The 15,462-nt window shown below is 40.0% G+C and overlaps 1 pseudogene, besides 2 other annotated features; it reads right to left on the minus strand.

The window, feature by feature from the left end:
- Positions 661-805: an enhancer, noted in NCBI's record as "145 bp enhancer 127 fragment used in the MPRA reporter construct; PK_construct_2081". NCBI's record gives its function as "activates an SV40 promoter by MPRA in HepG2 cells {active_cell/tissue: HepG2}" and the evidence as "EXISTENCE:reporter gene assay evidence [ECO:0000049][PMID:23512712]".
- Positions 727-740: a transcriptional cis regulatory region, noted in NCBI's record as "HNF4 motif; enhancer activity is reduced when this motif is scrambled". NCBI's record gives its function as "necessary for full MPRA enhancer 127 activity {active_cell/tissue: HepG2}" and the evidence as "EXISTENCE:site-directed mutagenesis evidence [ECO:0005528][PMID:23512712]".
- On the minus strand, positions 4,192-5,048 carry RPL7AP17 (ribosomal protein L7a pseudogene 17; annotated as a pseudogene).

A 15,462-nucleotide genomic window follows, 5' to 3' on the forward strand; every position in this document is an offset into this window, starting at 1 on the left:
GGTGAAGTGAAGCAGAACCCTCAAATAAACATTTTTTTTATGAGAGAAAGAAAATGTTATGAGATAAAATATAAATGTGGTGTTGAATGAAATCCCCAAATGGAAAAGGGAGGAGAGGAGCAGAGAGGTTCTGAGGAGACAAGCCAAGATTGTGAGGCTGTGAGGGGCTGGGAACCAGCCACAAGTTCAGGCCACAGAAGAGAATGGAAGGGGTAGTAAGTACTCCACAACTTGAGCCAGCTTCTACATCAACCACTTGGCTTCGACTCCGTGTAAAAAAACCCTAGACATCATGACTATATAACCTGAGAGAATCTCCATATCTAGGTGTGTGGATTCTAGATTTTTATTTCAAAATAATCTTGGGCACTTACTCCCTGATACTGGGCTCCTTCTCTTACCTCACCCCACTGATCCCTGGGCCCAGGCTACTACAGTTGCCTCATGTCACATACAATCTGTGCTTGCCTCTGTTTAGGAGGATGCCAAAGACCATTAGGACCTAAATAAGGTTTTCTTATTAAGTAAGTAAAAAATTGGAAATAAAGAAACATTGGAGGGAAATCTGAAGTTTTCGTGTTGGGGAAGGACTGCTTCATTTCTGTGCTTCTCTGGACCCTTTCCTCTGAGATGGGGGAGGTGAACCTGAGCCTCACGTTTGTTTGGATTGTGAAGCCCCAGGGGCTTCTGAACAGACTGTTCTTGATTCTAAGGCAGGACTGCTGAGAGTGCAAAGTTCAGCCTTAAAAATAACATCTCTATCTCTCAACTGGGCAAAGGGCCTTGCACTTTGGAATGAGACAAAAGGTAACCATGGGATTTTGAACTTGAGCAAAGAGAGGGGGATTGTGGGTTCTGGGAAGCTGCTTTTTTGGGGCTTTTTTTTTTTAAAGGAGAAAAATTGACAGTTTATAAATTGGCCAACTTGCTAGCAGATAATCAGTTATTATTGTCACTTGTAGATAGTGTCTGGCAAAATAGAGAGCTGGTAAGAACTAATGATTGCTAGGGACTCTGGAACCAACCTGGTGTCTCTCCCTCAATTTCTTTTCATTTTTCACAGAGCCCATTTCAATTAAGGTAATTAAAAGGCTATTATAATTTGTGAAAGCCTGGGCAAATTATTTATATTTCTTAGTCAGTTTCCTTTCTGTAAATCGGGGCTAAAGGAGCCTTGATGTGAGAAATAAATAAGATCTGACTGTAAAAACCCTGACACATAGTAGGCATGCCATAAGTGCTAGTGCCTTCCTCTCTCCATCTCATTTATTGGCTGACTTCTTTATTCCTTTCTCTAGGTAAAGACTGACAGGTGGAAAGGAAGTAAGAATGATATGAGGAAGGTCTACCTACTGATTTGTCCCGATAAAAGAGAAAGATTTATTTAATAAATGTTCACTGAGCCCTTTTCATGTGAATGTGCATGCTGGGCAGTAGGGAAATGATGAAATTGTACATTATACATTTGATGCCCTCAAGGAGTTTTTAGAGTAGTAGAGAGGCTGAGACAAGATTAGATAAGGGTTCTATAAACTGGTAAATAAGAAGCACTCTGGGAACGGGTAGGAAATGTAAAGTCATTTCTGGTTGGATTCATCGTGGTGTTGGGAACAGAATGGAAGCAGCACTAACAGTGCTTCTCAAGTGCCGACAGCGTGATGAAGAGCATGCGTGTATGATCTTATGCAATACTCACAGCAATTCTGTGTAGTACACATTCTTAGATTCATTTTACATGTTAGGAAATCGAGGCTAAGTTAAGGAACTTATCTGAGATCAAGTAATTAGTAAATGGTAGAGTTGGGGCTCTAAACCAGTTATCTGACTTCTTAACTCTTTTTCCCTATCCCACATTGCTTCAAAGTATTAGGGACAAAAGATAATTCTAGACAAAATGACCACTGTTCATAGGTGGAGATGGAAGAGGGTTCTTTCTTTTGCAGGTGAGGGAAGAACATGAAGAAAGTCCTGAAGCAGGACAATTTATTCTCACTTTTGGCTATGTGATCTTTTCAAAGCAGTATTTCCATGAGGCAGATCCATCAAACAATTAGATGTATTGTACCATGAGGGCAATTTAGGAGCAATGTAGGGCTTATATAGAAATGCCACTGATTAATTACAAAAATGGAGAGGACTTCTGCTTGGTACAGTCACCTGAAAGCCAAATCCCAATTCTGGCTCTGCCATTGACTTCCTGCAGTTCCAAGGCTCTAGGAATAGCGACTGTCCTCACGTGTCTCAGCTACCTTCCTCTTTGTAGTCATCTAGGCATCAAATGAAAGGCTTTTTTTTTTTTTTTAAAGAAATCTTGTTGAATTGTCTCCATATTGTTGCTCTGTTCAGACTCCAGGGACACAGAGTTTCTGGGCAATCTGGAGCTTCTCCAGGAATGCTAACCTTCTCTGAAGGGGGTTGCTCTGAAGAGGCGAAATGCTTGCCTTTCAAAAATACATCCTTAGGGAGGCTATCAGCTGCTTCATTTTTGCACAGTCAGGGAAATTTTATCCTCTGGTAAGGGATTTGAGAACAGTTGGCTGTGGTTGCCTAAAAGACTCCACAAGGACAAATGTCCAGAGCACAGTCACCCCCATTACCCAGAGGCCAAGGTCTCTTTGTTTATACCTCTTGTAGCTTTTCCTGCATTCCTGTCCTGTCTGTCCCAATCTTATACCCTGTTCTGAGTCTAGAGAGAGTCACAGTCATTGGAAGTGACTCCTATAAGAAGCCAATATGTGGTGTAACTTCTTCCTTCATTCATTAATTTGTTAGTTTGTTCATTCATTTTAGGAGAATTTTCTATTGTTAAGAAACACTTGTTACATAACATCAATGTTTTCCTAACTATGAGTCATAAAGAGGATACTAGCTGCCTTTGTTTTGTTCCTACAAAGACACATGAAAATAGGGTTTCTAAAAAATTAAGTACTTTGACAAATGGCATTTTTTGCCCCCTTACCCCAATCAAGTGGTTGGAACCCATTTACTGTGGAAATTTTTGACACTAAAGGTGAACCAGTTTTAATCTTAACTCTTCCCTCAAGACCCGTGAAAGATCAAAGAGGAATTTAGAGAATTTAAACACCAATGGTTCAGGTCCATGTGTGCAGCTGGAATCCACCTCTATCTGGTATCCACTAGGAATAGAGTCTCCTTCTGGCAAACTCACTCTTCTGAAGGCTGTGGATTGGTCTAGTTTGGGTTGTGGGTGGGTCTGAAGATACAAGTCACCTGGGACATCTTTCTCAGTCTCTATGTCTCCATCAATCAAATGATAGCATCATATAGTGTTTATATATTAATAAAAGTTTTGTTCCTTATTATGTCATTAATCCTACCTCAAGTAGATTAGGATATATAATATCCTAGATGTAATAAAGACTGTGAAGAGGGTTCATCAAGAACTTCATTACCAATGGTGTATCAGGTAGAAAGAGAGCATCCCCTGAAGGGGATAAGGGAGATTTTATACTCATGTATCAAACCAAATGTCAGCCAGAATACCAGCATGAAACAGGAATGACTCAGTGGAGTGAGCAGGCCCCAGACAAATGTGTAAAATAGCTGCGGTTGCCTTTTGATATCTTCCATGCTCCTTGTTTCTGCCTTTCTCTCATTCCAACTTTAACAGTACTGTCACTAGCCCATACTCATCTCTCTCTCCCTCTCTGTCTCTCTTTTTCTTTATCAAATCTCCAATATCCAGACATGATCTGAAATGTATTCCCTCTAGGGGCTAGAAGTGACTCAATTTGATATTTCACTCATGAGACATTGAATGTAATAAAAAAAGGATGGAGGTCTAAATATGGACTTTTATACATCTGGGAGCTGAGTGGAAGTGTCTTAAGGGATGAGAGCTTTGTGGAGACACTGGAGTCAAGTGATATAGGTGATTTAATTTACCCTGTTAGACTTCTCAGCAGCATATGACATGTTGACAACCTCCCTGTTTTTGAAGGCAAATTTTTATTTTTTTTAAAATTATATTTACTTATTTATTTATTTATTTAATGTTGCCCAGGCTGGAGTGCAGTGGCTTGATCATGGCTCACTGCAGCCTTGACCTCCCAGGCTCAAGTGATTCTCCTACCTCAGCCTCCAGAGTAGCTGGGGCTACAGGCACACACCACCATGCCTGGCTAATTTATTTGTTTTATAGAGATGGATCTCATTATGTTGCCTGGGAGAATTATTCTTATTTTTCTGTACAGAAAACTCAACAGTGTATGGTTAACCAAGTTTAGTAGCAAGTGTTTCAGCTTTTGCCTTTTCCTGCTTGGCAATGTAAGCCACAGATTTAGGACCCAGGACATTGCTTTCCCAGTGGTGGCAGATCTCATCATATCTGTCATTGTCATTGGTCCTGATAGCTTCCATCAGCTTCATCAAAACTCCTCTGTCTTCCCAGTTAAACTGTGTGAAGGCGACAGTGGTGCAGGTCTTCCTGTGGACTAGACGTCCCAGTCTTGCCTTCCCCTTGATAAGGCAGTAAGGGACCCATATTTTACAACACAGGGCAGGCAGAAAGACAACCAGCTTGATGGGATCCTCATCGTGTTCAGTCACCACCAGTTGAGACTTCTTGTTCTCTACCACGGTGGTGATAGTATTGAAATTGCTTGAAGGACAGGTGGTCTCTTAATGGGGAGAGCCCCTTTGCTGTCAGCTCTCTTCTCAGCCCAGGCCAACAGTCTCTGCTTCTTCCCTTGCTTTGTCTCTGGATTGCACTTGTGGGCCAGCTTAAGCAGTTGAGTAACTGGCAGTCCAAGGCCTGAGTGAGCTGGTTAATGGCAGGAGGAACTTTCGGCCGCTCATGGAGGATAGCCCTTTGCCGCCGCAACTGCATGTAGCGGGGCCATTTGACAAAGCAGGTGAGGTCCCTTTCGTGCGGGATATCCTGTCCAGTGCCAAAATTCTTAGGCCTTTTCTCAAACAGGGACTTCCCACCTTCTTGGCCTCCTGCTTCTTCATGACAGCAGGGGTGGGTGCCACTTTCTTCCCCTTGGCCTCCTTTCCTTTCAGCACCTTAGGCAGTTGGAGGACAGGGTGACAACTGCCTTTTTTAAGAAGCCCTCTCCTGTCTTGGATTTTCTGTCATCATCCTTTCCTGCTCCCTCCATTTCACTGTCCAAAGCATCTCATATCTCTTTGTTCTTCTCTAAACAGCTTTAAATATTGCTGTTCCTAAGGGATTATTCTCAGGCCCTCTTTATTTCTTTCTCTAAACTCTCCCCCTAGGTTGCCTTGTCTATTATCAAGGCTTTAAACACCTTCTTTATGCAGATGTCTTCCAAATTTTTATATCCATCCCTCTGAGCTCCAGACTTACCTAAAAGTTTACTTGACATGTCCAAGTTAAAACAGCTAAGTCAAAACTCTTTATTTTTTTTACTCTTACAACTAATTTCTCGTCTCTACCAGTCTTCCTTAGCTTAATAAATGTCAGTGCCACCCACCTGGTTTGTTATTAAGAGCCATCTTTCATTCCTCTCTTTTCCTCACCGGCTATATCTGCTGCATAATTGATATGGTTTGGCTGTGTCCCCACCCAAATCTCATCTAGAAATGTAGCTTCCATAATTCCCACGTGTTGTGGGAGGGACCGAGTGGGGGATAATTGAATCATAGAGGTGATTTCACCCATACTGTTCTTGTGGTAGTGAATGAGTCTCATGAGATTTGATGGTTTTTATAAGGGGTTTCCCCTTCCACTTGGCTCTCATTCTCTCTTGCCTGCTACCATGTAAGATGTGCCTTTGCTCCTCCTTTGCCTTCTGCCATGATTGTGAGGCCTCTCCAGCCATGTTGAACTATGAGTCCATTAAACCTCTTTTTCTTTATAAAATACCTAGTCTCAGGTATTTTTTCTTAGCAGTATGAAAATGGACTAATACAATCATCAAGTCCTAAATTCTACTACCAAAGTACATCTGAAATCCAGCAGCTTTTCTCTGTCTCCATTGCCACCATCCTAATTTATGCCACTGTTGTTTCTCCCCTAGACCTCTGCAATAGCCGCCTTCCTTATTACACCAAATAAGATTATATAAAAAGCAAAAGTGTAGTGGTTTAGAGTGAATACTCTGGAGAGATACAACCTAGGTTTGAATCCTGCCTCTGCCTATTACTAAATATGTGAATTTAAGCAAGTTACTTAAGTTTTCTGTGCTGCAATTGCTTCAGCTACAAAATGATGAGAATAATAGCACCTGCCTTAATATTAAGTGTATTTTTTCCATTTGATTAAATTAGTTTTTTAAATGAGAAGAATTGTGCCTAACATAGAAAACTCTTATTAATATGTAAATAAAATCATGTTATTCAGTGCTTAAAACCCTTTAGTGGCTTCTCATGTACTTGACATAAAATTCAAGCTTCAAATCAGAACCTCTAGGTCCCATGTGACCTGGCCCTGCCTCCACCCTGACCTCAACTCTGTTCACTCTCCCTCTCTCATTGTACTCCAGACACACAGGGCTTCTCTCAGCTTCCCAGACATGCTAAGCTCTTTGCTGTCTCAAAGGCTTCTCTCTTTCTATTCCATCTACCTAGAACCTCCTCCAATTCCTGATTCCTTTGCCTATTTCAGATTCAGCCTAAATAACACATCTTGTTAGCAACTTTCTCTGGCCATGTTATTTAAGGCAGGTTGCCTTCTTTTGTACTAGAGCTATTTTGTTTTGTTCATATCACTTACTATGTTATTTAGTAATTTCATTTGTTGTTGTTTTCTGTCATCCTCACCAAAATGCAAGTTCTGTGAATCCAGTGGCATGAATATTGTGCTCATTGTTGGATCACTGGTACCTAACACAGTGCATTGCACATAAGTGCTCATAAATATTTACTGAATGAATGAAATGAACAATTGCTAGGCCAGTCTTGACTTCCAGAAGAAAGTCAAGTATAAGCCAGAATTTAAGCTCTGCAGGATGTACCAAATAATACACGAACAAGTACTGGCCACCTGAGTTGCTTTGGTATTTGGTAAAACAAGCAATATGGTGGTAGTTGTCAGCCTAGTAGAGGAGAAATTCTGAATATGGAGACAGAAGTCCTGGGCTCTTTGTCCAGGATCTGATACTAACCATCTTTGTGACCTTGAACAGGCTCAACACATCTCAGAAACTCACTCTCTCACTGGAGAATGAAAGTGGTTGAAATAAGCAACCCCTAAGGTTCCCTCCAGCATAACATTTGTTCTGGATGCAACATTTCTCCATAGAGAAGATAAAATCAGCACATAATTTGGTTCTCACGTTGGAGATAAATGAATTTTAGGAGAATTAAGAAATCATCCACAGATGCTAGGATAGATTCTCCTTAGAGTATTTTAAATACGTGAGAATTTATCCATTAGATAATTATTTATTGATCCCTGTGTGCTCTCTGGAGTCATGCCCACTGTTACCTTGCCTAAATGCAGCTCCTCTACTTTTTCTTTGTTTGCACAGCTCACAATTTAAGCAATATTTCACTACACACACACACACACACAAAGACAGATACACACACGTGTATGCAGTCATACAAACACACATTTTCTTTAACTCTAAGCTTTTATTCTTGCCTTGTTTCCTAGAAAATCCTCTCTTCTATCAATTTATTAAGAAAAAATATCCCCAGTCCTGTTAGATAAGGATTATTGGGTTATAATTTTACCAAGAAAGGGAAGGCACATTTTCCACAACTTCTGTCCCACTCATCTCCAAAGCCCTTGAGTGTGCCCAGGGCCCTGCTAACAACTTCTATAAAAGTCTCTATCCACTTCTTCCTCTCTCATGCATTCAAACACTTTTTCACATTTTAAAAACAATTTTAAAATATGTTTGACTTAGCTAGTAATTCACATTATTATTATGATATTAAGATTAATATTCAAATGATATAATTTTTATATATTTTGTAATGTGATTATACAGTGTTTTAGTTACATTTGGAAATAATGAGCTCTCTTAGGTTTGGTAAGCCTCCATGCACCATTTCTTATTGTCCAAATTCTACCTGTTCTTCCAGAACCAACTCACGTGCTGCCTCCACCATAAACCTTGCTTTATTTCTTTGTCAGGAAGTAACCTACCCTTCCTTTGAACTCCTGTAGCACTTTATTCATTCATTTGTTTATCTATCCATTTACTCATTCACTCATTCACTGTTCATTACTATCTCATTACATAGTAGGTGGTAAATATCTACTATGTGTAAATAAAAATCTCTTCTCTCGTGGAGTTTATAATTTAATGGAGGAGACAGACAAAAATGTGTACATATTATGTTAGATAGTGATATGTTAGATGGTGATATGTTTCATGAAAACATAAGGCAGGATTATTATTTTCATGAAAAATAAGGCAGGATAAGGTTATAGATAGTTTTGACATAAGGGGGTAGCCTCAAGGAGAAATGTTCTTTAATCAGAGACCTGTCAGGAGTGAGGGAGTAGGCTGGAAGACAGGTACAGGGGAAGAAAATTTTAAGTGGAAGGCCAGTATTTTAGTCTATTGGGGCTACTATAACAAAATACTTTAGACTGCGTAACTTAAAAACAACAGAAATTTCTCACAGTTCTAGATGCTGGGAAGTCCAAGAAAACATCGGCAGACTCAATGTCCAGTGAGGGCCTCCTTTCTTGTTCATAGGTGACTCGTTTTCTCTGTGCCCTCACATGGTAGAAAGGATGAGGTAGTTCTCTGAGGCCTCTTTCATAAAGGCACTAATCCCATGCATGGGGACTCAACCCTAACCACTTCATAAAGGCCCCACCTCTTTTTTAATTTTTTAAAAATTTTTTTATTATACTTTAAGTTCTGGGGTACATGTGCAGAATGTGCAGTTTTATTACATAGGTATACATGTGCCATGGTGGTTTGCTGCACCCATCGACCTGTCACCTACATTAGGTATTTCTCCTAATGCTATCCCTTCTCTAGACCCCCACCCCATGACAGGCTCTGGTATGTGATGTTCCCCTCCCTGTGTCCATGTGTTCTCATTGCTCAACTCCTACTTATGAGTGAGAACATGTAGTGTTTGGTTTTCTGTTCTTGTGTTAGCTTGCTGAGAATGATGGTTTCCAGCCTCATCCATGTTCCTGCAAAGGACTTAAACTCACCTATTTTTATGAAGGCCTCACCTCTTAATACTATTGCATTGGGGATTCAGTTTGACCATATGAATTTTGGGGGAATATAAACATGCAGACCATAGCATCCCACCTGTAGGCCCCTAAAATTTTATCATTTTCCCATAAAAAGTACATTCATTCCATCCCAATAGGCCCCCAAATCTTAACTCATTCCAGCATCAATAGTTCAAGTCCAAAGTCTCATGCGAATATCATTTAAATCAGATATGGGTGAGACTCAAAGGTGTGATTCATCCTAAGGCAAATCTCCTCCAGCTATGAGTTTATGAAATCAAACAAGTTAGGTGCTTTCAAAATATAATGTTATGACAGGCCTAGGACAGACATTCCCATTGCAAAAGGAAAAAACAGGAAAGAAAATGGATAATAGGTCCTGACCAAGTCTAAAACTGAAGAGGGCAAATGTTACATCTTAAGGCTTCAAAATAATCTTCTTTGACTGGAATTCCCATCTTCCAGACACACTGGCTGGGGTTGGGTGCTTAAATTTCCAGTAGCATCCATAGCTTTGCTGGGTACAGCCCATGCTGCAGTTGTCATGGGTAGAAGTCTGGTGCCTTTGGTTCTCTTAGGCTGGAGTTGCATGCTGGTGGCTTTAACAGTCTATGGTGTTGGAGGTTGTCCTGCCCTCATTAGGCGTTGTCCTAATAGGGGCTATCAGTAATGACCCACTCCTGTGGCAGGCCATTCTGTGCCTGGGCCCTGCTGCTCTCTGGGACATCCTTCCAAACCTAGGGAGGCAGCCATATCCCCACAGCTTGTGTACTTTGCAGACTGCACTTTGTGCTAGATTCCTCCTTTCTGGGCAGGGAAAGTCAGCAGCCCAAGTCAGGGGCTCATAGATAAAACTCCCATCTCCCTGGGACAGAGCACTTGGGGGAAGGAGCAGCTGTGGGCCCAGCTTTAGCAGACTTAAACGTTCCTGCTTTTTGGCTCTGAAGAGAGCAGCAGATATCCCAGCACAGTGCTTGAGCTCTGCTAAAGGACAGACTGCCTCCTCAAGTGGATCCCTGACCCCCATGCCTATTGACTGGGAGACACCCCCAGCAGGGGTTGACAGACACCTCATACAGAAGAGCTATGGGTGGCATCTGGAAGGGGCCCCTCTGGGACAAAGCTTCCAGAGGAAGGAACAGGTGTCAATCTTTGCTGTTCTGCAGCCTCTGCTCCAGGCAAACAGGGTCTGGAGTGGACCTCCAGCAAACTCCAGCAGACCTGCAGCAGAGGGGCCTGACTGTTAGAAGGAAAACTAACAAATAGAAAGGAATAGCATCAACATCAACAAAAAGGACATCACTGAAAAACCCCATCTGAAGGTCACCAACATCAAAGACCAAAGGTAGATAAATCCATGAAGTTGACAAAAAATCAGCACAAAAAGGCTGAAAATTCCAAAAACCAGAATGCCTCTTCTCCTCCAAAGGATCACAACCCCTCACCAACAAGTGAACAAAACTGGACGGAGAATGAGTTTGATAAATTGACAGAAGTAGGCTTCAGAAGGTGGGTAATAACAAACCCCACTGAGCTAAAGGAGTATGTTCTAACCCAATGTAAGGAAGCTGAGAACCTTGAAAAAAGGTTAGAGGAATTGCTAACTAGAATAACCAGTTTAGAGAAGAACATAAATGACCTGTGGAGCTGAAAAACACAGCACGAGAACTTCATGAAGCATAAACAAGTATTAATAGCCAAACCGACCAAGCAGAAGAAAGGATATCAGAGATTGAAGATCGACTTAATGAAATAAAGTTTCATTTTATGAAACTTTATAAACTTTATTCATTTTCTCTAATGAAATGAATGAAAAAAGAATGAAAAGGAATGAACAAAGCTGCCAAGAAATATGGGACTATGTGAAAAGACCAAACGTACGTTTGATTGATGTACGACCAGCACTAGAACTGGGCTGGGTCAGATCTGAAGCCAGCACAGCAAAGGACCTTCCCTTCAGGGTGGTGAGTTCTCCCAGGCCCCAGGTGTGTCCAGAGATACTATCTGGTGGCCAGGGATTAGAATAAAAAAAAATAGCATTTTACCTGATATTCTATTTTACTGTGGCTAAGTTGACATTCAAACCACAATACGATGTCCTTTCTGCCTTTGCCTTTCCTTTCCACAGGCAGAGTAGCCTGTCCCTGTGGCCACCATCACCACTGGTCCCTGGAAGGTTCTGTCGGACCAGTGCTGATGTTTGTTTAAAGTCCATTGTCTCTTCTGTCAGCTTGTAGTAAATGGTGCCAGGCTTGGGACTCACCCTTCTGGCCCAAGGCAGGTCTAGAAATGCTGACCAAGAGCCTAGGTCTCAACTTGGGGGCCCCAAGTGCCTGCTTGTTTGCTCTACCTTACTGTGGCCGAGATGGTACTCTATTTTTGGTTCTTGTGACAGTGCTTTTCTATGTGCAGATAGTTGTTAAAATTTGGTGTTCCAGTGGGGGATGGATGGTGTAGGCTTCTATTCCATCATCTTTCTTTGCCCCCCGATTTTCTTTTTTATTTCTTCTTTGACCCCAGTGGTGTTCAAGATGTGTGTTTGTTTGACTTCCACATATTTGTGAAATTTTCAGGTTTTCTTTCCACTATTAATACCTAGTTTCACTCTATTAATAAAGATACTTGGTATTATTTCAGTCTTCTTAACAATTTTAAGATCTAATTTGTGACCTAACATGTGATCTATGCTGGAGAAAGTTCCATGTGACTTGAGAAGAATGTGTATTCTGCTGCTGTTAGGTGGTATGAACTATATATATCTGTTAGGTACATTTAGCCTATAGTGTTGTTCAAATCTTTTGTTTCCTTATTTATCTTCTATCTAGATGTTTTATCCATTACTGAAAGTGGGATTTTTGAAGTATCCTATTATTTTATTGCTATCTATTTCTCCTTTCAGCTCAGTCAATGTTAGCTTTATATATTTAGGTTCTCTGAAGTTGGGTACATATACATTTATAATTGTTATATATTCCTGGCAGATTGACCCTTTTATCATTATGTAATGTCCTTTTTTCTCTCCTGACAGTTTTTGGCTTAATGTCTAATTTTTTTTTTCTGATATGACAATGCTTGCTCTCTTTGGTTACCATTTATAAGAAATATCTTTTTTCTTCCTTTCACTTTCAGCCTATGTAGGTCCTTAAATCTAAAGTGAGTTTCTTGTAGACCGCATATAGTTGTGTTTTGATTTTTAATCCACTCAGCCACTGTATGCCTCCCTCAACTCACTAGACTGTGCCAGTCCTGTCATAAATCCAAGACTAGAAAGACACAAACTAGGCCTCTTGGAAGCCCCCTCAGAAAGTTGGGGGTACAGGATATGTATTAACTCATTCCTTCCCTTGGAAGAAGCTGGGAGCTAGGGGGAATCTTCCTGATTATGTGGTGTTGTGCTAGGAGCAGGGATCTGGTGACAGGGTGTCTTGACTCTCCCTACTAGCTTCCATGAGTCTGGTTTCATGTTTGCCCAGGTTGCAAGAGACTTTCAATTAGTTTCTTAATTTCTCATGAAAGGAATTTGTGAATTGTTGCTAAATTAGTTGCTAGTGGGAGGGGAAATATTCAGGGCTTCCTACTCTGCCATCTTGCTAAAGTTACCTCCTATCATTTTTAAAAATAGGTTAAGAAAAATATTTTGAAATAATCAATAACATGAGATTATATATATAATCTGCTTAATAGAATGACTAGCACATAATATGTGCTGAATTCTATCTACTAATACTACTGGTAATGATAGTAATTGAAATATTCAATAACATGAGATAATATATATTACATTCTTAATCAAATGACTGGTACATAATATGTGCTGAGTGCTATCTAATAATACTACTGGTAATGATAGTAATAATGATAATAATGATATTAACTTGCCCAATGTCACAAAAGCAGTGATGCTAAAATTTAATCCAGGAGTCCTGATAATTTTGAAAATCAGTTTGTCAAGGTGATTCTGTATATATTTTATATATTATACAAAAATGTTCTTACACAGGAAGCTTGATAAGGAAAAACAAGTCAATCACCCATAATTCTACCATTTCAATATAATAGGTATCATTGTTCAATGTGATTTTAGATTTATAAAGTTTGCTTTAAAAAGTATTGCTGGTCAGGTGTGGTGGCTCACACCTGTAATCCCAGCACTTTGGGAGGCCAGGGAGGGTGGATCACCTGAGGTCAGGAGTTCAAGACCAGCCTGACCAACATGGCGAAAACCCATCTCTAATAAAAATACAAAAAATTAGCCGGGTGTGGTGGTGGGGACCTGTAATCCCAGCTACTCAGAGGCTGAGGCAGGAGAATTGCTTGAACCTGGGAGGCAGAGATTGCAGTGAGCCAAAATTGCGCCATTGCACTCCAGCCTGGGTGACAGTGTGAGATTCCATCTCAAAAAAAAAAAAAAAGTGTTGCTGATGCTTTAATTTGTCCTCTACATTCTAGGAACCTTCTGTTTTTGTTTTTGCTTTTGTTTTTTCAGGGCAGAAAATAAACAAGCAAATTGTTTTTTCTTGCTCCTTTTTTCCCATAGCCTTAAAATATCTAGACTGTACATCCAGTTATTGTAAATTAAAATTATGATAGATCAGCAATGATTCAGGTAAAAGAAAAGTTTATAAAGAGAAAAATTGGAAAATGTTGATAGTTGTGGCTATGGAAATACCTAATGATTTATTTAATTGAAACATAATATTAATTTATCTGATGGAGTTAAATACAGTGTTATGATGAGCAATCTATCCCTTCTCATCTGTTCTCTGACTAAAGTTATATTATCACAAAGGATATTGAAGAGGTGTTCATCATTTTCTTCTCTTTTACACACACTATCAATGTGAGAATTCATATATACCCCTTATTCTGTTCCCCCTGCCCACTCCACCCCCAGTAATCTCTTAGCAGTGATTAAAAAATAGCTTTATTCATTTATATCAACTTGTATTTTTTAATAAATAATAGAAATCCAATTAGAAATTCAATTAGAATTTGACTTTGCTAACCTCTCTATGAGATGGATTTCTGACCTCAGTAGTATTAGAGTCTTCAGCTCATCAAAGACAGTAAGTATGCTCATGATACTTTTCAGAGGGAAGAAAGAACTTAAGCACTATGTAACTACTACCTTAGTCTTGGCTTCCATTTGTCAACGTTGTTTCTTGTACTTCTGCAATGGTTACCTATCTAATTATCTTGTCTCCATTTTCTGTATCCCAAATTTACCCCCTATATAACCATAAGAATTATATTCTTTTAGTAACAGACATTTGATCGTATTGTCCTTCAATCTTTTCCCTTAATATCTTTCAGTGCCTCCGCAATACCTTTAGGATGAGTCTAAACTTTTTGTTATGGTACACAGGGTCTTTCATGATCCAGATTCTTCTTATCTCCCCAACCTTATGCCTTTTTATTTCACATTAAACATTCAGCCATATCTACAACGGAAGTTCCTAACATATGTTATTATTTATTGTGCCTTTTTGCTTTTGCATCTGCCTTTTCCTTCCCTTAGAACACACTTACCCTCCTTTTCCAGGGTAACTTTTCATCCTTTATAAATCAGCTTTTGCATCATCTAATGGTCATGTTTCATGACAGACACTGTATGCTATGTGTCCACCGAGTGCCACTTCCTCTTTCCCCTGGAATTACAATTAGACTGCTTTCCTAGGCTCCCTCAAAGTTAGATATGGCCTAGTGACTCAGTTCTGGTGAATGTGAGTGAAAGTGATTTATATCACTTCCAGACCTGCCTCTGAAAACATTCCATAGAATACTCTATGTCCTCTCCAGTTCCTCATCTTCAGGGCAGATATAATGGATCCTGGAGGACTTTAAGATCCTAGTGAGTGGTAAAGACACTAGACTGAAAAGCCTGGTAACCCCTTGGGCCCTCTGACTAGGCACATGCACACTGGACTACAGCATGAGCAAGGAGTAAACTTACATTGTGTTTAGTCTCCTTACATAGTGTTTAGAGTTTGTTGTAGCAGTTAGCCCACAATGACTAATACACTTCCTTTGGTGTCCCTTTTCCTCCAAAGTCCCTACCACTCTGAAAAAGTTATATGTGAATAAAGCACCCTTATTCTCAGGCCCAGATCTAGGACTGGTTTATTTATCTAAATGAAAAAGTGAAAGTTTTCTTCCTCCTAAAATTCATATTCTGGTGGCCAAGACAGCTAATAAATAATAAAACCATAAAATGTAACTTTAATCAATGATAAGTGCTGTCAAGTGAGATAAGGCTGGATAAGGGGATGGAGGATGGAGGGTGAGGGGTATTTTTTTTATAACGCATCAGAGAAGGCTCT

This window comes from Homo sapiens, chromosome 1, assembly GCF_000001405.40.
Source record: "Homo sapiens chromosome 1, GRCh38.p14 Primary Assembly".
Lineage (NCBI taxonomy): Eukaryota > Metazoa > Chordata > Mammalia > Primates > Hominidae > Homo > Homo sapiens.